We start from the raw sequence: 27324 nt of genomic DNA, 5'->3' as shown, positions 1-27324 counted from the left end.
CCAAGCTTTATGAAAATCTCTGTTGAATTACCAGCTGACTACTAACCCAACAGAAAAGAGACTTCAATGGCCACACAAAACAAAGAATACAGACTATAAAAGTCACTTAACAAACCAGCCTGGAAAGGATGGAGAATCTGATTTTTGGATTTACCATAATATAATATTCAAAATGTTCAGCCTCTAAAAAAAAAATGAGGCACGCAAAGAAACAAGATTATAGGGTCCATAAGCACGAAAAAAGAAAAGACACTAATAGAAACGATACCTGAAGACATCCAGACATTAACCTTATTAGATAAAGTTTATTAAAAATTTTTTTGCAACTTCTGATAAAATACAGATGCATAAAACAATAAGTATAAATCTGTGTTAATGAGTTCATAATGCTTAAAGATATAATTTGCAACAATAAAAACATAAAAGAGGAGCATAAAAGTTAATAGGAGCAAAGTTTTTGTATACGTCTGAAACAAAGTTGGTATTAATTTGAACTAAACTGTTATAAATTTAGGGCATTAACTGTAATCTCCAGGGCAACAACTCAGAAAATAACCAAACCGTGTAGTAAAATAAACAAGAAGGGAATCAAAATGATATATTAGAAACTATCGATTTACCAAGCAGGCAGTAATGGTGGAACTGAGAAACAAAATGGATGTAAAATATATAAAAACAAATCACAAAATGGAACAAGTCCTTCCTTATGAGTAATTATATTAAATGGAAACTAAAAGGTAGAAATGGTAGAAGAGATTTTTTAAAAGATGATCCAACTATATGTTTTCTATAAGAGAGTTACCGTAGATCTAATGAAATAATAGTTTGTAAATAAAAAGGTAGCAAATGATATTCTATGTAAATAATAACCAAAATGGAACAAGTCCTTCCTTAAGAGTAATAACATTAAATGTAAACTAAAAGGTAGAAATGGTAGAAGAGATTTTTAAAAAGATGATCCAACTATATGTTTTCTATAAGAGTTACCTTAGATCTAATGAAATAATAGGTTGTAAATAAAAAGGCAGCAAATGATATTTTACGTAAATAATAACCAAAGTAGCTATATTAATATCAGATAAGATATACTATAAGGTAACATTTGTTGGAGACAAAAAATGACATTATATAATTATAAAAGGGTCAATCCCTCAAGAAGATGAACAGTTATGAACATATCTGTACTAAACATCAGATCCCCATAATATATGAAGCAAACAGGAACAGAACTGATGAGAGAAAAAGATAGTTCAATAATAATCTAAGTTGGAGACTTCAAGGTCCTGCTCTCAGTAATGGATTGGATATCTGCACATACAAACAATAAGGAGACAAAGGACTCGAACAGCATCATAAGCCAACTAGACCTTACAGACAAACACGGGGTATTCATCTCCACAGCAGCAGAGTACACGTTCTTGTCAAGTGCACGTGGAACATTCCCCAGGACAGACCATATGTTAGACCACAAAACCAGTCTCAATAAATTTCAGAAAATTGAAATCATACAAAGTATCTTCTCTGACCACAGTGAACTGAATTAGAAATCAATAACAGAAGGAACACTGGGAAATTCACAGATAAGTAAACATTAAACAAAATACTCTTAACGAATGGGTTAAGGAAGTACCAAAGAGAAAACAGAAGATAAGCTGACATAAATGGAAATAAAAACATATCAGAATTTATGGATTGCAGTAAATGCAGTGATTGAGGTAAATTTATAACTGCAAATGTTTATATGAAAAAAGTCAATAACCTTATCTTTTACTTTAAGGAACTAAAAATCGAAGAGAAAATTTAATCCAAAACAAGCTGAAGGGAGAAAATAATAAATATTAGAGTGAAAATAATTGAAATATAGAGTCGAAAAACAGCAGACACAATTAAAAACAATCTAAGTTGGTTCTTCCAGAAGATAAACAAAATTAACAAACCTTTAGTTAGACTGAGCAAGAAAAAAGACTCATTAGAGTCAGGAATGAAAGTGGGGATATTTCTACTGACTTTATGTAAATAAAAAGAATTATAAGAGAATACTATGAATGGTGAATTTTGTTATGTAAATTTTACCTCAATACAAAATATACAATGGTTCTCTTTCTTGCAAAAAAAAAAAAAAAAAATTCTTCTGCATCCTCCTGAACATTGCAGACCCAGTCTCTTATAGCCCCAGGGTATCTTCAGCCATCTGGTGGTTGTTCTCCTCCCATATGTGAGATTCAGCAGGCTTAAAACCTGGGTTCTGCACTAATTTCTTACCTGCGGTATGACTATTTTAAACTTATATGCACCCTTCCTTATTCATCAGAGTTCATTGTGTAATCGTAGATCTGTAAGAAAAGACTGAGGAAATGTGATAACATATCATGGTTGATTCCCTCAAATATAGGCCAACAATGCTGAATGAACTCAAATCAGACCTTAATATTAACTAAGCATAAACACCTGTTCCCTAAACCACTCCTTTGAAGCCTTTTCAGTTGTAATAATATTGCAAATAAAGGACATTTGATGGCCATTGGGTGTTTGTGCTCCAAAAATGTTTAGTTTTGAAAAGTTTGGCATAAAAGCTTACAGAGAAACAGATTTAAATATAGATACTATTGGTCCCTCCCCACTGCTTCCCCTACTCCCAGCTTACTACAGAAAGATATTTCAAACAATAAGCAGATGGTCAATTATTCTGAAGATCAAGAAGAAGCCAGATTATTCAGTTTGGGAATTACATGCTTGTTTATTTCCTTATATCCAGAGTAAATATGAATTCTAGGACCATGGTCTGCCAAGTACCTATTAGAATAAATTCTGTCCTTAAATCTCAATTATCTAGCACTGATTAATCAGCAGAAATAATTTTAAATTTTATTCCAGGATTATTTTTTTAAATGTAATGTTTTACTATTTAATATAACATTTTGGTATTCAAGAACATGAATTCAGATAGACTATAAAAACAAATTTATTACAGATGGTTGCATAATAGCATCATTACTTAAATGAGCAATTTTACTACAGTCTCAAAAGGGAAACATCACTAATTGCATCACAAAATTGCATGGTTTTGTAGATAGAAAATACCTAAAATGACACCATCTTAATGTTAATATTTAAATAATCTTGATCTGCTCTTACTCTTAATTCAAGATTTAGTTTTTGTGGTCTAAAAAAGCCTTTTCTCTTAAAAAAAAACACACATTAAGTATTTCCTAGAGATATCACAAGGGAAAGCTTTTTGAATCTGTTTTCTCTGTAATCAAGATTGTCCAGATTGAAATGTGGTAGAAATGACTAATAGCGAAAATGTTTCCATTTCCAAGGAAAGTTTCCATCTAATTTTATAAGACCTAATTGCTCTACTTTTGCAGCCTCTTTAGCATACTATTATAGATTAAGAATGGTATTAGACCACAGGGAACCACAAAAAGATGACAAAATTCTTTGTAAATATGAACTTCCCATTTAACTGGTGTGATCATTTACAAAAAGACAAATATTTAATTCTCAAAGCGTAGTTGCACATTAATATCTTTATGTACTTTAGGTGTTAGTCCAATATAAAAGAAGTTTTAAAAACAATATTTTAGGATGGGCGCAATGGCTCACACCTGTAATCCCAGCACTTTGGGAGGCCAAGGCAGGCGGATCACAAGGTCAGGAGATTGAGACCATCCTGGCTAACATGGTGAAACCCCGTCTCTACTAAAAATACAAAAAATTAGGTGGGCATGGTGGCGGGCACCTGTAGTCCCAGCTACTCAGGAGGCTGAGGCAGGAGAATGGTGTGAACCCGGGAGGCGGAGCTTGCAGTGAGCCGAGATCACGCCACTACACTCCAGCCTGGGTGACAGAGCGAGACTCCGTCTCAAAAAAATAAAAATAAAATGAAAAATAAAAATATTTTAAAAAATCCTACTTACCATTGCATTTACCTTAACCTTAACCCACAGTAAAATACACAAATACGTGATGCAACCACAAAAGTAATTTAGGAGGTTCACTGTGTGAGTACGTAACAGTTGCTGAGTTTGACTGCTCATATTTATAGCTGGTTAGATAGTATTATTAATATTGAAGTAGAATAACTTACAGTCACACTGTCAATGAAACTTTTGGAAACTAATTATAAAGTGCTATTGTGATTACTCTTTGGTGGTTGTGCTGTTTGTTTTCCCTTCGCACACCACTATATTAAAAACTCTTGACTTAAATTTCCTTGCAGGTCCCAAAGTGTCTTCCACACCACCTTACCTGTTACAGATCAGAAGAGTTACATATTGTGACAAAAGGCCTCATCTACTTTTTAGTGCAGACTGATTCCTCCATTAAAACTGTAATACATGGTCAAAGTATAAAACTATAAACAAATGTAAAGAAATTAAAACCATCTAAATAGCACTAGTTATAAACACTATTAGCTCTTGGATGGTTTTTACTCTCTAGTATTTTTTCTGTACATAAAATATTTTATAACATTAGGATTATAATATATCATTTATGTAATGCTTTTCTCATAATATGGCTTTCTGAGCATTCTCATAACATTCTATCTTTGTAAACAACATGATCTTTGATAGCACATACCATTTACTTAAATCATTATTTCTTTATTATAAGCCACACTCTAATGAATATTCTTGCAGGTAAATCTCTGTTCACACCTAATATTTTTTTCTTTAGATTTCAAAAAGTAAAATAACCCAGCTTTTAAAAAGCTCTTGATACACATTGCTACATATTTCAGATGAGCTGTATCAATTTACTCTCTCTCCAGCATAATATGAGAGTGTCTTACCCCACTGAATACTTACTATAAAGACAAAAATAGGCCAAAAGTAAAATAATGGAAAAAAATACCATGCTAACACCAATCAAAAGGAAACTGGAGTGGCTATATTAGCACCAGACAAAATAGATTTCAGAGCAGAGAATATGGCAAGGGATGATGAAGGTCATTTCATAATAATAAAAGGTTTGATTCATGAAAAGGACATAACAACTCTAAATGTTTATGCATCTCAGAATGAAACTTCAAAATACCTGAGGCAAAAACTGAAAGAACAGTGAAGAAAATAGACAAATCAGAAATTTCCAACCCCTCTCTCAATAACTGATGGAACAAATAGAGAGCTAATGAGTAGGGATATCGAAGATTTGAACAGCATTACCAAACAACTCCCAAATAGAAGAAAACACGTTCTTCTCAAGTGCCCATGGAACATTTACCAAGATAGACCATATTCTGGGCTTCAAACAAGTCTCAATAAATGTAAGCGGATTGAAGTCACACAAGGTACGTGCTCTCACGACAATGGAATGAAATTGTAAATCAATAACAAAAAGTTCATGGAAATCCCCCTAATATTTGGAAAATAAAAAATCACACTTCTAACTACCTTATGGGTCAAAGATAAATCAAGTTTGAAATTATTTTGAACTGAATGGAAATAAAAACACAACTCAGTTGTTTTGGACTGAGCATGTACAAATGCTGGGTGAGGGGCACCAGAGTAAGCGGCAGCCAGGTGGGCCTCTGGCACATCACAGAAATCATGGGTGCAGCCGTCCAAAAACAAGCCAAGACCCTGACTCTGGGCCCAGGCGACAGCAGGGAGGTGCAACAGCAGGCAGGTGATGCCAGTGAACAGCTTGCAGGAGCAGAGCCTCACCTTGACCTTTAAAGAAACCTGCCCCTCCCCGTTTTGCTGCCTGAAGTAATCTCATTTCACACTCATTCTCTTACCGACTTCACATAAAGAAAAGAAATATTTCCACTTGAGGGTATACAAGATTTGAACAGAGAGTTGCTAACGAAGAATATTAGGATAATAAAGTGTTTATCAGCTATAGTCTGCTAAGTACTAATTCTGCATTACCAGATGGGTTTTTATAAGTTTAAAGTTGGTTGGAACACACACTCACGTGCGCACGCACATATAACAAGTTGAAACCAAAACAACTCAGGCAACAAAAAATCTTGGGTTTCAGATATGGCACATAGCTCTTAAACTACATATTTTAACCAAGCCTCTTTTCAGAAATCTAGACATAAAATAGTAATGCTGTAATTAGAAATTAGAACATGTATATAAATATTTTTTAAAAAGAGAAGCTCCAGATTGAAAAGCTTTGAACGTAGATGTTAAATAAAGTGTATTTCAAAGTCATGTGTCATACAACAAAGCAAGTAGGACATCTGCAGATGGGACAAAATAAGTAAAGCTTTAAGTCTCCTTAGTTCTGAGTGAACTACATTCTGATTTTATTCATATCCAATAGTTAATGTGTTCTGAAAGGAAGGACCATTAAAATGATTTTGCTTTTATTTCTATTTTTATTCAAAAGGTACTCATTGATGTTACAGATTTTATATGAATACAGACCTCTAGTTAATAAAACATGTCTTGTCAGTATGCTTATATTTCCCAAATCTCTTACTTCTATGAGTAGACTAAACATACTAATCTATAAATGGAGCTACTCATGGCAGAAATCCCTGATTCGTTTCTGAAAGTTAAATGTATATACCAACCCAGTTAAAAAGCATTAGGCCATTTAGCTGGGGGCCTCTGCATGCCGGACAGGACAGTAGGATCAGAAGTCACTGGAGGCGGCAGGGTGGGGAGGAATGAGCAGAGGGAACTATCTCATCTTCTAGCCAGTTAGAGATTTTACAATTAAAGAGTGACTCTTTGGAGCTTAGAAAGTTTCATGCTTGTTTTCATGGTTTCTGGGGGAGCCATTCCTAATGATAAGCTGTGTGCAAGATTCCGAGGGAGCTCCAGGAAGCTCCAGACAGACTGCAAGTATGCCAAGGAAGAGAAGACGAATGCAGGAAGTGAGAGGTCACAGCCTACTTATTCCTCAGGTTTCAAGGGCCTCCCTTCTGTGCTTCCAAGCATATGAATGATGAAAATGACAAATAGGTAGGGTTTGTAAAACTAAGACCCATAACTACACAGAGTTTCTGAGATTTAGCTAGAGTAGAGATAGCACACAAAACGGTCTGGGCACCAGCATGGGTCTTTGTGGTGCATTCCACACTAGTGCTTCCTCGATTAATAAAATCATGAAGAAAATTTATATTTGTTAAGAGCCAAAGGACTTTTGATCTTTCCTGTTAAGTACAATTTAAAATGATAAAAATGTCCTTAGGGAAACCTTAAATCTTCATCTCAAAAAGCCTAGGGTGGCACTTTAATAAACAGGAAAAGAGAAAGTCAAGTCAAGCCACTTACAAAACTTTTTTTCAACGTTTTTAAATGCTAGTATGAGAGTTAGTTCTGAAAGGTCACTTCAATCCTTAATCCTCTAAGCATTCATCTGGAGCATGTTAATTTTCTTTAAGATGTTTGGCTGTTCTACTGGTATATCTGAAGCGTGGGTGTATGAGGTAAGGCTTGGATATTTTCCAAATCACCTCTGCGGCTAGCAGACTTTCCTTGGCTTTCGAACTTGCTCAGCTTCCTGTCCAAATAGTACACTCATTGACTGGGAAAGAGACCTTCCTCAGAAGCTTAAGAATGAGTCCTGTTTTTCTGGTGAATCCCGTGGTTCTTAAGAAATGTCGCTATGAGTAATTCTCCACTTAAAGATACTCTGCACCCCAGAGTAGGCAGCCAGTAAAGACAGAAACCTCCATGAGTTCAGCAGAAAGGAGGGCCTGAAATCCATATCATTACCAGGATTCACATGGCAAGGTCTTTCCATTTTCTAGTCAGAATGCAATGTTCACAGCTACATGTTCAAAAGATGCTTTATTGGTGTATTATTTTGGCTGAGGTGGGAAACTGGCTAAAACCGTTTTGAAACTGCTTCACGTTAAAACCCTTGGGGTCATGACTTAGGATCTTAAACAGCATCCACCTGTGTGCTGGGTGGGGTCAATGGAAGAACACTTTTATTAGAGGAATCTTCTGGATTCCAGAGGCATTTATATTTTGGCCTTCATAAACGAGGGCTAAGCAACACTGTTCTGTGGTCTGTTGAGGCAGATGAGTCTACACGCAATCAACCAAGTCGAATAACTGCACTTCAGGCACTTCAGTTTAAGACGCCATCTTAAACTCTCTGTTGTCACCTAGTGGTTGTCACAAGCTAAGCTGCATTTACGTATCCTTATAAGAATACATAAAATAAATAAATGTAAATGTCTTCCAGTCACTTTTCAAACTTTACTAGGAAACAAACTAAAACATTTAAAATAGAAACCTTCCCCCAAACTGTAAATATTTGGTGCTAATGAGGACAGTGAAGAAAACAGCTAAGGGTTGTACCCAGAGCAAAGAGTACTGAATAATGCATGAAATGACAAATCCCAGGCCAGAGCCAGAAGATAGCTTTTCACAGGCTTGCTTAAAAATTCATTTGAAACATAGTACAAAAAAAAAGTATTTTGTTTTTTTTTTCTTGATTAGCCTTAGAAAAAGGAAAAGCCCAAGAGTCTTCAGAAACCATATTATAGGAAATAGGAAAATGTTCTTTCAGCATTAAGTTTTTAAATCTTTTTTCACCCCCTTTCATTTCAAACATTTGCTCACTCTGCCTCCTGAAAATATATCTGGCTATTCTGAGCGTAGAGATACTGCCTTCTCAAGTTTCTGTAAAAGAAAATTGCTTAGCAGGGGGGTTCTGTGAACCCACATATCATGGGAATGCTAGGTGTTCTTTTAGATCTGCCCCACATCAGTATATACTAAGTCAAACACATCCAAGGTTCCTGAAGGAAGTTCCTTTTTGTAAATAAACATCGTTTGTGCCTACTTCAGCTCCTTTTCCTTTATGATCCACACTGACCTAGCTAAAAGCTGTACTCTTTCCTTTCTTTCCTTTCCCATTCTTCCTCTTAACTTATAGATTCAATGCCATCCCCATCAAGCTACCAATGACTTTCTTCACAGAATTGAGAAAAACTGCTTTAAAGTTCATATGGAACCAAAAAAGAGCCCACATCGCCAAGTCAATCCTAAGCCAAAAGAACAAAGCTGGAGGCATCACACTACCTGACTTCAAACTATACTACAAGGCTACAATAACCTCTTTCTTTTTCTTTCTTTCTCCTTCCTTCTTTCCTTCCTTCCTCCCTCCCTCCCCTTCTTTCCTTTTCCTTCCTTCTTTTCTCTTCTTTTCTTTTCTTTCTTTCCTCTCTCTCAAATAGTTTCAGCTTTGAATAAATTACACCACATCAGTGGCTTGCCAGTGAGGTGGGGCTATGTGAGTGGTCTGCCTGGGGTGTAGGCAAAAAGAGGACATTCTTCCAAATGTCTGTGAGAATTTAAGGCAATAATAAAGCCAACTAAAAGCTGGTCTTTTTATAATCACCATATACTGGTGATTCTAAACAATGGCAGTGACAAAAAACAGAATACACCTTTCTAAAGGGACAGGCCACTTCACCCCGAACCCCAACTTGGTGCAACTGTATTTGTTAATAAACAAGGGACCCTTTTATAATTTTCCTTCAGATTATTATAGTAGTCTTTGGCCATATGACTCTGAAATGTGGGGAGAGACCATCATAGAAAAAAGTGGGAGATTTGGTAAAAGTGAACAAAACCTTTACGTTCTCATCCCAGACTAATAGTATTTATCAAATGAAAATAGCATTTATTTTCATCTCTGGTGACAGAATGTGATCTTGTTCCTCTTTCATGTTTGTTTCAAGTTTTCAGTGCTACAGGAATTCTATAAATACTACAATCAATTAGTGAGAGACCCAGGTGATAAGAGAAAGAAGTATCTAATAATTCCACTAAGCCAGAAGGGAAATGGCTGAAATAAAACAAAAACTCAGATCTTTATTGCGTGTCCTATCCTCAAGGGACTATAACAGTCATTTCATAAATCAGTATTCATAATTTCCTGAGAATTTTCTGCCTAGAGAGGTATGGTTTACTTTTAATTTTTTAAAACCTTGAAATGAAAAGTGGAATTCCTATAAAAATGAAGACATGGTATTCAAAAGGCATTATCCCTTAGCTTGGGTTACTTTGATCCCTCAAGCTATCCTGGATCAGCTCCTTCCAAAGTCTTGTTCTTTAGCTTTCCCTTCAATGGGTGACATTCCCCCTATCCTTCCAATGAATCCTGTTTTTGCTTAATTTAGCCATAATCCATTTCTGTTCAGCGAAATCCATTGGTTCTGTGCAGCCATAACCCATTTTGTTTGCAACCAAAAAACCCTACTTGACATATTTACCTACATTCAAATTATACTTAGTCCCTACAACTTTACCATCTTAAAGTTATTAAACTTTAAACCATCTTACGGATGAGAAAACTAATTCTCAGATGTTAATTTATTCTTTGTTGTATAAATAAGTAATGGCAGAATTGAAGTTCCAATTTGGATTTGTCAGGATTTACATCTTTCCTCTCTATCATGTCATCACAAAAGCTTAGACGTCCCTCCTTCAGGGCCATATGTTTCTTGACTCTAGGAGACACCAGCCAAACCCACCCTTTGCAGCTCCATTCACTAGGACCGTCCACCCATTCGTTCATTCAACAAGTATCTCAATACATAATATGGGAAAAATATAGCACTAAATCTGGGGAGCACAAAGCTGGTTCAGCTGGTCCTTCCTTCAGGTTGTTCACATTTCTATGGGATGCTGATTGTTCAGTTTATAGATGTAAACAATGTTGGGATCAGTTAAATTTAAGCAATATAGAGAAAAAAACAGAATATAATAGTAAAGCCATATGGTTCACAGAGGATAAGAATGATTCAGCTCATTACATTAGCAATAGTTTCAATTTAAGCCTTTGGTGGAGAAACTCTTCACTGCAATGACTTCTAGAGATACAAAGTCAGAGGGAAAATAGTTTTAATTTCGAATAGTTTTAATTTCATTTTTTAAAATAAAAGAGATAATGTTATAACACAGTTTCCCAAATTGCAATCATTTGCATACTAGTGTCAAGATTTCTGCTGTATCTGTGCATCAGCTAATAATTTCTTTAAGTCAATTTATATTTATTGTTTTAAAATATTTAAAGGAAGCTTTATATCACTACCTTATCACTATCTAGTGATAGTCACACTTTCCATAAATAGAAAATAACTAAAAAAATAAATGCAATGAAAGAAAGATGATGAATCTTATGGAGACAGCATTGCAGTGAAAAGCTCTGAAACTGAAGCCTGATCTGCTCTTCATTGCAAAGGAAGATTGGCAACTATTCAGCAAGTGTTAAAGACCTACTAGTTCCCAACTAATCTTTCTGCTGAAAATAATCAGAAGGATTGAAGGAGAACCTGCATGGAAGTAATTTTCTCATTAAATGATTCAGTGCTACTGAACATCGGGTTTCACATCCCCCTAAACATACTCTCGCAGACCACAGTGTTAGGTGTTCCAGACACTTGGAGACAGGCTGAGGTACAGCACAGTGAGTCAGGGGAATATGAATGGGTTATGTGTGGAGAGAATGACGGGAAGCAGCTTCCAGGGCTTCATCTGACATTTTTCATTCATTCACTCATCTACTCATATGTATTAAACATGTCCCATGGGTCAGTCATTTGTGCTGAGTGCTGGGGATTCAATAATGGTATAATTCTCACTACAAGGAGAAAGTAAATGAAAGTGAAGACAAATAAGAAAACTATAAGGCACCATAAGTATTATAATAGAGGACCCACTAGACACTAAATGCTAGACTAACAGGGACAGAGTTTATCTTCAAGTCTCAACGGGGTGTCTACTCTTTCAGGGTTTCTAGAAGGCTTATTGTCCACATGGGCTGTCATTGATTTCTCCTTTTCTTTGGTGAGCACCAGCTGGAAAACAGCTATCATATAAGAAATGGAAACCTGGAAGGTAGTTGAAGAAGGATGCCGGAGGGAAGTGTGCTGTGATGTGGATAGAATACAGTGAGAGTCAGGGAGAACATTAGAGACTGGTCTAATCTCTCCTTTTGTAGGAAACAGAAGCCTATGATTTATTAGAGTTAGAGGCTAAATTGGGATTTAAATAGGATCTCCTGAAACCTAATCCAATATCCTTTGTACTTTACCGCATATATAAGAAGGGAATCTTGAGAGTCAAACACATTCACTTTTTTTTCCCAAAAAGATAAAAGGATAATCTAGAGCATTCTCAGCAATTAAGTACCAAAAGAGAAAAAATGAAAATAAAGTTTCTTACGTGGTAGACAGTGTAATTAAACCACTGCATGACCCATATTAGGAGATTTTTATTCAGAAACATGTATGGCCAGACTAGCATGAACATATGAATGGCTTACCATGGTTGTCGAAACAGCTTTAAAGCTGATCAGTACAAAGGGTTTTCTTTATAGGGATACAGTTCTACCCTGCAGGGAAAGTTTATTGTTTATCTCCTATGCTCTTTGGCACCACTTAATTCCACTTAATTGAGACTTTCTTTAAACCTGGAAAAAGGAGGCAAGAGAGCGCCCCGGAATAATTTCCAGCCATTCCTAGCCTTTGTAGATAGGTAGTTCATTTTGTTGCTTCCCCTGCCCCACCCCAATATTTAGGTGGTTTAGAACTAAGTATTAGGGAACTTAGAGCATTCTCCATTTTCCAAGGCTGATAATCACTGAAGCACACTGGTTTAGGAGAAAAGCCAAAAGCACTATTTTCTGAACTTTACCCATCGAATATCAGCAGGATTACCTTGGGGTATGGAACTTGGGAATGGCGGATGGTAGTTTTTGTCAAATAAGTGTGTTTCTGTATGGGATTCTATGGTCACTCTGGATATGTATCCTTATTTCAGCTGTATTACCTTTGTATTCCTTCCTGCTCTGAACTAGTAAATACTGTTTCATATTTTAAACTTTATTAGGAACTAACCCTTTCCATAACCAATGACACATTTTATTGAAGCATCTTGTTCAAACAATTCAGTTGTATTAAATATTTCCCTGAAGAATCCAAAAGATGTCACACCTTGAAAGTGAAAAATATATAGTATCTTGCTATGTAAATTCTTGAAACTGAGCCATTTAAGTGGTCAGCCCAGCTAACAATTATGTGCCAAGCTGATTAGTTTGATCTTTCCATGAGAATGACGATGAATAAAATGTATATACCTGTGAAGTTTGAGAGTGACAGTTCCGTAAACAGTAGCAAAACCGAGAAGACGAGCCCATCTTAGGAGAATACAGCGAAATGTGCTTGGCTCAAAGTACAAAATAACAACCTGTGGGATGAAAACAGAAAGAGACCTTCAGGATCAACTGATGACCCACAGACCCAAGTCAATATCTCATAACCTGATGTTTCATACATATGAATTTTGATATACACTCATCTGAATACTTCTTTAAAATACTATTTTGACCATTTATTGTCCAGACCAAAGAAATACACAGTCTCCCTACTGCTTATTAAATAAAATCTAAATTCTTAAAATTTTCTAACTTTGGGGGGAGGGATAGCATTAGCAGATATACCTAATGTTAAATGACGAGTTAATGGGTGCAGCACACCAACATGGCACATGTATACATATGTAACAAACCTGCATGTTATACACATGTACCCTAAAACTTAAAGTATAATTTTAAAAAATCTAACTTTTAGAAGTTTCTATAAACTGTCTCTAAGTCTTTGGTGTATGTCCAAACTTACCTCTCCTTATTGTCCAAAACGAACAAGTGAGGATAGTCCCACTGCCATTCTCCCCCCAGAGCCGATTGTTCCCACCTCCACACTTCTGGCAATCCCTTTCCCCCGTCTGAAACAGCCCTGAGATTGCCGTATACTGCATCTTGCAAACAGTCTACCACTCCATATTTACTACTTGGCTCAATTACCTCACTAATTCCAAACTTTCTCACTCCAGAGTTTTCATTCAACAAATATTAAGCATTTACCCTGAGCCAGGCACTGTGCTAGGTGCTGCTGATACAAGATACAAAGGCCAGGAAGAGGGGGAAAAGAGACATGGAAATAGGAAATTGCATTCAAGTAACATAGGTACTGTGATAAATATTTCTACAATTTCAGTGGGACCACAAAGAAACGAGCGGCCAATTCCAGGGGAGAGTGAACAGATAACGTGCAAGACACTCCACTACTCTTCATATGCTACTGTGCAGTTTTGAGTGAGTCCTTGTAGAATAAGAATTGGTTTGACCCTGCCTAAGAACCTTGCAGTGCTAAAGGATTAATACTAGTGAAGAGCACAGACTCTCAATCTTTGCTGGAGCAGCTGGCCTGAACTGTTTCTGCTAAAAGCAAGGTCGTAACAGAAAATATGCCCACTGCCAAAACCCTGAGTATGATTTTGTTTTTCCCTGCCAGAGTTGTGCATATTGCTGGGGGCCATGGGGTAGGTACTGACATTTTCTTGCTGATATTTTACAAATATAGCCCCTCTCTCTAGCAGTGCCAAGAATGAATTACCTAAACTCCCCTGGCATTTCTCAAGTATTTCTACTACACAAAGACATTAAGTTCTCAAGGAATGGAGAAAATACGGACAAAAGTGTTAAGGAGAAATTAAAGAAAGGTAAAAATAGGTGTGAACAGGAGACAATGTTGTTTTGCGTGCTCCTGAAGTCAAGCAAAAATATTCAACTTTATTACTTCACATACACAGAATTTGTCCTTAGTCTTCCAATTTACTAGGTCTGCGTGAAGATACAGATAAATATTTTCCTTCAGGATTTAATCTACCAGAAAAATGTCTAGATTCAGGAAAAAAAAAAGTAAAAACCTGTTTTTACTGTTTTCACAAAACAAGTTAAAATTGTACAAATTTGTATTCCAAGTTTGAGCTCGGGTATTTCAGACATATTTCTTTGCATAGTAGTTCAATAGGAATAAAGAGTTCTGCAAAGCAAGTTTTATTGTTTACTAAGGACTTGAAGCTAAAAGGGGGAGGAAAAACTTAGGAGGGGGAAGACAAATGGAGAAACCTTGACAGAAGATTGAGGTATGTGGGGAGCATATGTGCTCCTTCTCATGGAAGAGAGAATAATAGATGAGAGACTACACATACGGGGGTCTGAAGTCTGGAATATGTAAAATCTCAAATATTTCCACTAGAAATGGCCATAGAAATTCTTCTGAAACAGTGGATTCTTGGGAGCTGCAAAATCCTATCAGTAAAGCTTTTCATTATCCACCACGCTTTCTCTAGGTAATGAATGAGCAAAGGTGAACAACTGTAATATAGAAGTCTGCATAATTTTTACTTAAAAATACTCATTTTTGAGCTGTCCGGGAACTACTGATATACCTTCAAACTTTTTATTTCACAGATAAAGAAGTTCAGGACTTGTTAATATAAGTGAAAGATTGGGTTGGCCAGAAATACATGAAATAACAATATTTTTCAGCATCCATGGTGGAGGTATAAGTTTTAAAATAATAAGAAATGAAATTCTAGTAAACTAAATAAAATGTGTTATTAAAAATAGTTCAGCAAATAGTGGACTGTAACTCTTAGTCTGCATGTGCCTCAGGCAAAGCTGGTGGTAGGAGAGAGTACAGGCTTTGAATCCAGTCTCCCTCGGTTCCAATTCTGGGTCTACTCTTTCTTAGTTGTGGGGCTTCCACAGTTTATTTAATATTGCGTTGCCATACTTCAGTTGTCCCATTTGTAAAATGGGCACAGCAACAAAATACTTCATCTTGGAAATATATTGAAGCTTAAATGTAATAGTGTGTGGTAAGCAGTCAAACACAGTGCCTGGTACAATGAGTATTCAATAAGTATTGGCTAATATTATTAGGAGAGTTGATTTATTTATGCTTTGTTCTAAAAGTTACCATTCTCACTGCAGCACAATTATATCTCATCATCTCAACAAATTCTTTTCTGATCAACCCAGCCACCCCTTCTTTTGAATTCCTACTATGACTTTTAGACTATATGCTTCTTCTACTGCATCTTGCATTGTAGTTATCTGTATGGTTGCCTCTCTAAATTAAATGTAAAATTGAAGAAGGGCCTGTTCCTCAGTATATTCTGTGTGCTTACAAACTAAAAGTTTATACATATTAAATATTTGCTCAATGATCTATTTTAGCCAATTTTAAAAGGAAAATGTTACCTTCAAAATAAATGATTTGAAAACTGATTAGGGCTTCCTAATCATTAGTATCCTAATTGACATATTCAATATTTATTTACTCTTTGTGAGGCAGTAAGGGATTTGGAAGCCATAAAAAACATCAGATGTGGATTAGGTCTTCAAAAAAGTTATACTTTCATAGAGTGAATGTTACAGGTAAGTGATAAATATGATTCACTAAATATTTAGGCAACACTTACTATATGCTAGACACTAAATTAAGCATCTTTGCATACATTTACTCATTTAATCCTCACAATACCTTAGAAAGACGAGACTTTGATTTTACTGAAGGGAAATAGGGCAAAGATAATTTAAGTGATGTGCTCAGGGCTACACAGCTAGAACTGTCAGAGCCAGGATCTGAATCCAGGAAGTTTGGTTCCAGAGTTCATGCTCATAAGAACAATGATGTCATCCTGCCTCCTAACTGGCTCTGCTGTGTGGGGGAGGTGATGAATGCCATCACCCTGTGAAATGCATTATAATGAGGATTTCAGAGGAAAGGGAAATTACTGGCAGTGGAAACAAGTGAAATTATCCTGGAAGGGCTGACAAGTGAGCGAGAACGAAAGGAGGAACAGGCTTAAGTGTTCATTCAGGCAAAGATGAAAGAGGGAGGGAGCCCAGGACAAAAGCATATTGTGGGAAAGTTCCGGAGTGTGGAGCGTATAGTTACAGCCAGTAAGACAAGAGGAATCATGTAAAGAAAGCTTTAAAACAGATGGAGCCAGATCATTGTAAGCTTTGAATAATAGGGTGGAGAATTCAGATTTTATTCCAGGAGCAGTATACATGGCATTAAAGCTCTCTGAGTTGAGGTCAGCAGTGTGTGCACCAGGGAATCCATCCGGCTACAGCACGGAAGAGCATAGGTTGGGCTATGGAAAGGGGAGAGACTGAAGGCGAGAGGACCAGTTGGAAGGAAAAAAGAAAAACCAAGTTCATCTTCCCCACCAAACATTTTCCTATTTCTTATTCCACTGTCTGTCATTGCAGTTCCCAAATGGCAACTGATGGGATCTTTCTCATCACCTCACTTCCCTGCTTAGAACCTTTCAGTGGCTCTCAATACTCTTAGGAAAAAGTCAAAATTATTTAAGATGGTTAGCAAGAGTCTTCACACTTGGAGCTAGCTGATCTCTACAACATCACTACTTCCACTAATCTGATCCCTGCGGTCCTTGCATTTGCTGAATCTTCTGACTAGATATTCCTTGCACAACCCCCGGCTCACTTGTACCTGGCTTTCTCCTGTTCACCCCTTCAAGCCTCAGCCCAAATATCCCTTCCTCTAGAAAGAACATGCCTCCCCTGTGGCTTAGCACACTGGCCCTACTTGTTAATCATGTCTTCCCTCCAGTAGGCTGCAGGCTCCGTGACAACCATGGGTTTTCTCATTCACTTCTGTGACATTGGCACTAGCAGCGTCCTGGCACACAGAAAGTGCTCAGTAAATATTTCTTGGATGAAAGGAAAAATAAAGCTATAGGGCAAAGGCAAAGAAGGATGTAACTAATATGGTGAGAGGGAGAATTCATTCATTCATGGAGATACAGGAAAGAAGATGCCAAATGAAGAAAACTGGGCAACCTGTTATTTGTTGAGGCAAAAGGGAATATAGTGTCAAACATAATGTAATATTTTAAGCCTGGGTGACCTGGAGGATGATTGTACTTGAAATGAAACAGCAAAAAGAAAAGGATGCATAAGTCTGCAGAAGACATCTAGAAGTCTGCTTGATTGCCTTGACTCTTTGGATACTGAACACAGCTAATGGGGGTGAACAAGAGAACCACAAAGGAGAAGACTATTAGGCTTCTCAAATATGCACAAAATAAAAGAATGCTTTACAATAGAATAACTTTTTTGCAAGTATAGACACACCACTAGAGACTCATAAAATTAATCTCCACTGTGTCTGCTGAGCAGACACAATGCCTACTGCTTTTAAAAGAGAAATGCTAACAAGACACAGTGGTCATTCCCTGCCTCATCCTGCATGTCTCAGCTCAGGGCGGGCATTCATGACTCTCTCCAGCATCCCTCAGACTGAGTTAGGTTTCCATCTTATTTGCACGTTATTTACTCTCAATGAATGCTGAGCTTTCCTTTGTTGCACTCATCAGCTCTCCTTGGAAATAATTCTTTCTGTAATTCATTTGTTTAATGTAGCTACCTAGTTTATAAAGGCGCACGAGGGCAACGATTGTAACTAATTCTTGATTGCACGTCCATTCCCTAAGATAGTACCTGGCAATAGGAGATAATCAGTACATGATGTGGAAGGGATGAGATTAAAAAAGGAAGGAAGGATGGGAAGAAGAGAGGAAGTGAGCAAGGAAGGAGAATAATATGTTCATTTTTGGAAATGCTGAGTAAAAGTGCCTATGGGACATCGAATTCGGATCTAGGTTTGTAACAGTTAATATAATCTGTAACAAGCTGAAAACCAAAATCAAAAATGAGATTAGAAAGTTCAATATTTTCAAATCCCCCAAATTTAACTTTTTATCATTAAAAATATTATCTATAAACAACCCCATCAAAAAGTGGGCAAAGGATACGAACAGACACTTTTCCAAAGAAAACATTTATGTGGCCAACAAACACATGAAACAACGCTCATCATCACTGGTCATTAGATAAATGCAAATCAAAACCACAATGAGATACCATCTCATGCCAGTTAGAATGACAATCATTAGAAAGTCAGGAAACAACAGATCCTGGAGAGGATGTGGAGAAACAGGGATGCTTTTACACTGTTGGTTGGAGTGTAAATTAGTTCAGCCATTGTGGAAGACAGTGTGGCGATTCCTCAAGGATCTAGAACCAGAAATAACATTTGACCCAGCAATCCCATTACTGGGTATATACTCAAAGGATTATAAAACATTCTACTATAAAGACACATGCACACATATGTTTACTGCAGCACTGTTCACAACAGCAGAGACTTGCAACCAACCCAAATGCTCATCAATGATAGACTGGATAAAGAAAATGTGGCACATATACGCCACGGAATACTATGCAGCCATAAAAAGGATGAGTTCATGTCCTTTGCAGGGAGATGGATGAAGCTGGAAACCATCATTCTCAGCAAACTAACACAGGAACAGAAAACCAAACACTGCATGTTCTCACATATAAGTGAGAGTTGAACAGTGAGAACACATGGACACAGAGAGGGGAGTATCATACACCAGGGCCTGTCAGGGGTTGGGGGGTAGCAGAGGGATAGCATTAGGAGAAATACATAATGTAGATGATGAGTTGATGGGTGCAGCAAACCACCATGGCACGTGTATACCTATGTAACAAACCTGCACGTTCTTCACATGTATCCCAAAACTTAAAGTATAACAAAAAATATTATATATAAACATATATTTTAACAAATTATAAAACATTCCTTTTGAAATCTCAGTGACAAATTTCATAACAGACTAACAGTGAAGAAATTGAGAAAATCAAGCCACTAAGCTGAAGAATTTATGAATTATGATAATAGTGATATACTGATAGCTATCATTTTTATGTACCAATAACAATAATAGCTACACATGCCTCCCAACACATACGCACTGATAACCATGCTAGACATATTACCTATATTTAGGGTCCAAAATATACTTTATTATCTCTATTTTAAAGAAAAACAGACTGAGTTGTAATGGGATTAACTAATTTGCCCATGGTTATCAAAATAATTTTTAAACAAGAACCCATAAGAAGTTCCTTTACTGGAAGAACTGCCTAAGGCATAATTCCAAAATATGTATCACAAAAAAAAAATAAAACACTATGCTGATTCTCTTTCTGATACTAGGGGCCAGTGATAGTTATAAAGACGTTGCATTGAATTTGTTGGCCACAGGAGTAAAGCATACCACTCTATTTATTAAGTAACCTAGGGACTGAAGAGCTTGCATAATTGCTGGATGAATGATCACAGCATATAAAGTATAGGCGTTGTAAAATGAGACATCCTAGGTTAAAGAGGATGAGCTGAGTGGAAAAGACATCCAGGATCAGCAGCAGCAGATGTCACACCCAAACTACCAACTTCCCTTTACCTTTAAGAATGCCTCTTGGGAACTCACTATAATTTGCCTAGAGGTTTGTTTCTCCCACAGTCTTTGAGAGCAAGGCTTCAGTGTGAAGACCTAAGGTAGATGTACCTCGGTGTGTGTTTGAAGGACTTGGTTCATAACCATGGGAAGTTTTTTCAAATGCTCTCACAATTCATATACCATGGAATACCATTGAGCCATAAAAAATAAAATTTTATCTTTTGTAGCAAGGTAGATGGAACTGCAGGCCATTATCTTAAGTGAAACAACTCAGAAGCAGAAAGAAAATTCCTGCATGTTCTCACTAATAAGTGGAAACTAATAATCAGTACCCAGGGACATAGAGTATGGAATGATAGACAAAGGGGATTTGGAAAAGTGGAGAAGTGAAAGGAGGTGGCTGATGTGAAATTACTCAGTGCATGTAACAAACGTTATTTAAGTGATGGATACATTAAAAGCCCAGTCATCATTACACACTACAGCCATGTAACAAAATTGCACTTGTACCCCTTAAATTTATACAAAAAATTCAATCAAATGATCTTAGTGGTAGGATACTCAAGGCATCGAGTTTTTAAAAAGTATTGCTGGCTGGGTGCAGTGGCTCACGCCTGTAATCCCAGCACTTTGGGAGGCTGAGGTGGGTGGATCACTTGAGGTCAGGGGTTTGAGACTAGCCTGGCCAACATGGTGAAACCCTACCTCTACTAAAAATACAAAAATTAGCTGGGCAGGGTGGTGAACACTTGTAATCCCAGCTACTTGGGGGACTGAGGCATGAGAATTTCTCGAACCTGGGAGGCAGAGGTTGCAGTGAGCAGAGATTGCGCCACTGCACTCCAGCCTGGGTGACAGAGTGAGATTCCATCTCAAAAAATAAAAATAAAAATAAAAAATAAAAAGTATTGCTGTGGTAGAAACAGCCCTCCAGGCTTTCCTCTCAGGTACAAAGAAATCTTTGAAATTATTCTCCCATTTCAAAGATTTCAATTTCAATAACAAAGAAGTTATTCTCCCATTTAATTGAATGTGATTTTGTTAGCATGTTTTGAAGTCTGCTTGATTGCCTGGACTCTTAGGCTACTGAACACAGCTAAGAGGGGAGAAATAGAGAAATATAAAGGAGACTATTAGACTTCTCAAATATGCTCAACTTAGAAATAGAACTTTTTTTTTTTTTTTTTTTGAGATGGAGTTTCACTCTTGTTGCCAGGCTGGAGTGCAATGGTGTGATCTCGGCTCACTGTAACCTCCACCTCCAGGGTTCAAGCGATTCTCCTGCCTCAGCCTCCCAAGTAGCCAGGATTATAGGTGCCCACCACCACGCCCAGCTAATTTGTTGTATTTTTAGTAGAGACGGGGTTTCACCATGTTGGCCAGGCTGGTCTCCAACTCCTGACCTCAGGTGATCCACCCTCCTTGACCTCTCAAAGTGTTGGGATTACAGGCATGAGCCACTGCGCCTGGCCCATAGAAGAACATTTTTAACAGAATAACTTATTTGCAAGTATAGACACATTGATAGAGACAGAAAATTAATCTCCACCATTTCTGCTCAGTAGATACAATGCCCAGTGCTTTTAAAAGAGGGATGCTGACAAGGTACAATGATGAGAAGAAGCCAGCATGGTCCAAAGCTGTTCCCAAAGCTCTGAGAGTCAAAGGTGTGAAGCTCTTGGTTTAGGCCTGATCTCTTTAGAATCTGAGCAATAGTGTTGAACACAGCAGTTCCCCTTTCCTAGTTGACTCTCCAAGTGTTATTTGCTTCAGTTCAGTGAAACTGGTTGTGAATTTAACCACTTTGACAGGTAAGTGAGGTGTTATGTGCTTTGGGGTTTCTGTTAGTAGAGAGTGTGAGAACAGTTTTACTTACAAAAAGAAATAAAAGAAAAAAGATTACTGTGTACTAGGAGGCATGGTAACAGACTCAAGTGGCAAGATTTTTGTTGATGAAGTTGTCCTTTGATAAGGATTTGAAGAACATCTGAGGCTTTAACGACTTTATAATTTATAATTTATAATATATAATTTATAATTATAATATATAATATATAATTTATATAATTATATAAAATATAATATATAATATAATTTATAATTTCCCCCTGCTTCCTAGTCAAATATTTTCCAGAGTTGCTCATCCCCAGGTTTGCTATGCTGCCAACAATCCTAACAACATGGGAAGAATTAAGCCGATAATTTTCCTTGATGGAGGACACTCCACAAAGGTCATACTAGTACTAAACTAAACCTTGTGTGTAACCTCTCCAGGTTTGCTTTGTTTGAAGTAGGAGGCTGGAAATGAGTCATTAGCCAGAGCCACGTTCATTGAAGCACATTTATTCAGGATCATCTTTTATGGGCCTTTATTCAATGTCCTGTGGTGTGTTCTAAAATTTTTTTTTTTTTTGAAACTGAATTTCTACTTTACACCATACATAAAAATCAGTTACAGGTGCACAAAAGACATAAATGTGAAAGGCACAACATTAAGACTTATAAAATAGAACACAATCTCTTCATGATTTTGGTGTAGGAGATAATTTCTTAAACATAACTAAAAATTTTTAACCACACAAAAAGTAAAAGATCAAGAAATTTGATTTCATTAAAATCAAGAACATGGAAAGAAAATGAAAAAAAATCATATGCTGGGAGAAGATATTCACAAGACACAGAATTGGTACAGTGCTGTTATCCAGAATATGTAAAGAATTTTTATAATTCCATAAGAACAAATAAGCAATTTGCAAAAATACACAGTGAGCATTTTAGTGGAATTATGATTGGCAAGTCCTCACTAGTAATAGATGATTTATTATAATAAGATATTATTTTACACTCATTAGTTTGGTAAAATTAAGTCTGGCAATCAAAAATCTTGATATGTATATGGAGGAACAGGAACTTTTATATATAGCTAGTGGGAAAGTAAAGTGGTACATTCCTTGTGGAAAAAACTTTTAAATTCAAATTGTACACATGGTCTATACCTAGCTATTTCATGTAGGTGTAGGTTTTAGATAAACTTTATATATATATATATATATATATATATATATATTTTTATTATACTTTAAGTTCTAGGGTACATGTACACAATGTGCAGGTTTGTTACATATGTATACATGTGCCATGTTGGTGTGCTGCACCCATTAACTCGTCATTTATATTAGGTATATCTCTTAATGCTATCCCTCCCCACTCCCCCCACCCCACGACAGGCCCCGGTGTGTGATGTTCCCCTTCCTGTGTCCAAGTGTTCTCATTGTTCAATTCCCACCTATGAGTGAGAACATGTGGTGTTTGGTTTTTTGTCCTTGTGATAGTTTGCTGAGAATGATGGTTTCCAGCTTCATCCATGTCCCTACAAAGGACATGAACTCATCCTTTTTTATGGCTGCATAGTATTCCATGGTGTATATGTGCCACATTTTCTTAATCCAGTCTATCATTGTTGGACATTTGGGTTGGTTCCAAGTCTTTGCTATTGTGAATAGTGCCACAATAAACATACGTATGCATGTGTCTTTACAGCAGCGTGATTTATAATCCTTTGGGTGTATACCCAGTAATGGGATGGCTGGGTCAAATGGTATTTCTAGTTTAGATCCCTGAGGAATCACCACACTGTCTTCCACAATGGTTGAACTAGTTTATAGTCCCACCAACAGTGTAAAAGTGTTCCTATTTCTCCATGTCCTCTCCAGCACCTGTTGTTTCCTGACTTTTTAATGATCACCATTCTAACTGGTATGAGATGGTATCTCATTGTGGTTTTGATTTGCATTTCTCTGATGGCCAGTGATGATGAGCATTTTTTCATGTGTCTTTTGGCTGCATAAATGTCTTCTTTTGAGAAGTGTCTGTTCATATCCTTCGCCCACTTATTGATGGGGTTGTTTCTTTCTTGTAAATTTGTTTGAGTTCTTTGTAGATTCTGGATATTAGCCCTTTGTCAGATGAGTAGGTTGCGAAAATTTTCTCCCATTCTGTAGGTTGCCTGTTCACTCTGATGGTAGTTTCTTTTGCTGTGCAGAGGATCTAATTAAACTAAAATTCTTATATTTTTCTATATTTGGCAAGAGATGTGCTTCCATACGTGGGACTTATTTAGTGATAAAAATGCATGTCCTTCAAATCTTACTATAGGTTCATTTTTGATTCCATAGTAATTTTGGATTCAAAATAACAAAAGTACCTAATGCAGCTTTACATTTATACAATTACCACATACATGAGAATGGCTATAATTGTGATTATGTGTCTTTATACAACCATGGTCTAGAACTTAATATTTGGCTCCTATTACCCCAAAACAACAAAAATTGAATAGCTTCCATAGTAATACAGAAGTAACATTTTAAAAATTATAAAATATACAAGATTTGGGGGTTAATGTGGCAGCAGATGCTATGCTGTACCCCAATACATCCTCTCCAAAATTCCCATAGAATACACCTGAAAATGTCCAAAAAAAAAAAAAAATTAAAAGGGGTTACAGGTCTAAAAACCAAGGGCAAAGAGGACAAGTTCCCAAAGTCTTAGTGGTGATTCTACTCACAGCTTGGTAGATCTTATCCAATAAAGAAGTACCTTTTAAATAAAACACCACAGGCCTCATTCTCTGAACCAGAATAAGATCTAAACCCCCCACACATAACAAGGAAAGATTTTCATTCATACTCCTCCTCATTGGGGTCTTCTAACTCTGAGACCCATAGCTTTTTGCTAAACAGAAGATCAAATTTAAAAAATCCTTGGTCATGCCCCAACTAGGCAGCAGCTTTATTACACATAAGCCAGTCTTGGAGCCTCCCAGTCCAATACTGCTCCTCCCCTAGCAGCACCTCTCATCTCCATCCATGCATAGGTTAGAACACCCAGGATGCAGCACTACATTCATAAATGTGACATTTAGCGGCTCAAGGAAAAGCACAGCAAGATGCAGAAAACCAGCGTGCTGGGAGGGCACACAATGGAAAGTCCAGGTGCCCTCCCTGGTCTCGGTTTTCCCATCTCTCTATGAGAAGAGGCGCTTCATGGAAACAGCCCATTCTAATACACATAATAAACAAAGAAACATATGACTATTTTTGCTCTAAACTTTCACAACTTCTCCGTGTATGTGTTCAAAATAGATACCGTTTTGGCCAAGAATAAATTACGATGCGTGACTTAAGACAGAAGTTTATACCATCCTTAATAATCATGTCCTCAAAAATAAAAAATATGGGAAAGCTCTCAGGATTTATGTTTAGTGAAAAAATAAGCAGCACCTAAAATGTATATAAAATATACAGTGTGATAGCAGTTATGCTCAACATTTATGTGTAGCCAGGCACCGTGACACATGCCTGCAGTCCCAGCTGCTTGGGAAGCTGGGCAGGAAGATCACATGAGGCAGAAGGATCACTTACGGCCAGGAGTTCGAGGCTATAATGTGTGATAATCACACCTATGAATAACCATCGCACTCCAGTCTGGGCAGTATAGTGAAAACCCATCTCTTAACAACAACAACAAAACATTTGTGTGTATATATATGTACATACATAGAAACATACACAGAGAAATGAAAGCACACTTGTCCCCTGTTTATTACCCTGAATTGAACATCCTTAATTTATTCTATAAAACAAGGCATAAGGAGCTATGCATAAAAGCTAATGGGGAAAATATCCTGGAATGTCTGTTCCCTAGAACTTAAAGTATAATTTAAAAAAAAGATATTCATCTAAAATATCTGTTCTCTATAATTGCCAAAAAAGCAAAACAACAACAACAACAACAACGGCAAATCTGAAGCTTTGGCTCTGATTTGGCTTCTTGTTTTCTCTCCTGATATCCTTATGAGCAAACTGCATGTGCCTCTGAGAGAAAAACACACACTAGTGAGCAGAATGTTGAGTACTGTGATCAAAGTATTATGGTAAAAATTTTTTTCATTTTGTATTGTTTTGAAAAGATTGATCTTTTCTAAAATGGACAGTGTATTAGTCTGTTCTTGCACCACTATAAAGAAATACCTGAAATTGGGTAATTTAAAAAGAAGAGAGGTTTAATTGGCTCACAGTTCCGCAGGCTCTACAGGAAGCATGGCTGGGGAGGCTTCAGGAAACTTACAATCACCATAGAAGGTGAAGGGGAAGCAGGCACATCTTACATGGCAGAGGAGGAAGGGAGTGAAAGAGGAGGTGCTACACACTTTTAAACAACCTGATCTTATGAGAACTCACTATCATGAGAATGGCAAGGGGGAAATCCACCCCCATATCCAGTCACCTCCCACCAGGCCCCTCCTCCAACACTGGGGATTACAATTCCACATGAGATTTGGGCGGGGACACAAATCCAGGCCATATCAGGCAGTTAAGCTCCAGTTCAAATCCTTACTGTAAATGTGTATTGAGAAAAGGTTAATTTTCAATAATATAAATATATATAAAATTGTATGTGTGTATATACATAACACACAAAGTAAACAATGTTGACAGAGATTCTCTGGTTTTAGTATTAGACATGCTTTCAAGTCTCAGTATCTTACACATGTTCTGTAATCAGAAAAAAGTTAATTTAAAATAAGAAACTACTCCAATATCTGTTACAGGTGCTTAGTAAATGGTAAATAACATATTTATGTCATGATACAGTCAAAGAAGTATATGGTCTTATGCTTTAGAAATAAGATAATCTTATTAGGTATCATATTACTATATTAAGGCTGAAAGAGCTAAATGAATTAAGAGTCCTCAGAAATAATGGAAAAATGGATAGTTCAATAGAATAATTCCTGGGAATTACTTTGTTTTGGTTGGAAAGACTATACAGTAAGGGAGGGCCTCTGCATGAGTATGCAGTCTGTGCATTACACAACTAGCAAGAACATCTTGAATGCATTGTCTACTTTAGATTGATTACAATCATTTTCTGGCAGATGACAATAAAGTGACTTGAGACACAGGTGGAGTTTAGCCTGGAAGTGGTGCCACTGGGTGAGCTGGACCACTTAGGACTCTGCCATAAAAGGGGCTTAGAACAGTGTTTCTCACATCTTCACGTGCATACGATCATCTGGAGAGCTTGCCAAAATGCAAAGTGTGCTTCAGTAGGTTTGTGGTGAGGCCCAAGATGATGCATTTCTGACAAGCCCCTCGGGATGCTAATCCTGCTGCTCCTAGGA

The 27324-nt window shown here is 36.9% G+C and overlaps 1 protein-coding gene across 3 annotated transcripts in view; it reads right to left on the bottom strand.

Annotated features, from left to right (window-relative positions):
- The window catches only part of GPR158 (G protein-coupled receptor 158), a 427229-nt gene that overhangs the window by 38079 nt on the left and 361826 nt on the right, over positions 1-27324 (bottom strand). For all 3 annotated transcript variants that reach the window (XR_930512.4, NM_020752.3, XM_017016452.3), the window contains one exon: positions 13066-13175. Coding sequence is in view for 1 of the 3 variants with exons in the window: in NM_020752.3 (NP_065803.2) it covers positions 13066-13175 (110 nt within the window). In the remaining 2 variants the exon portion in view is untranslated. The remainder of the gene's footprint in view (positions 1-13065; positions 13176-27324) is intronic.

Source organism: Homo sapiens, chromosome 10 (assembly GCF_000001405.40).
Source record: "Homo sapiens chromosome 10, GRCh38.p14 Primary Assembly".
NCBI classification, from domain to species: Eukaryota; Metazoa; Chordata; class Mammalia; order Primates; family Hominidae; genus Homo; species Homo sapiens.
The sequence above is the reverse complement of the archived record's forward strand: the minus strand, read 5'-3'. Positions and strand labels throughout refer to the sequence as shown.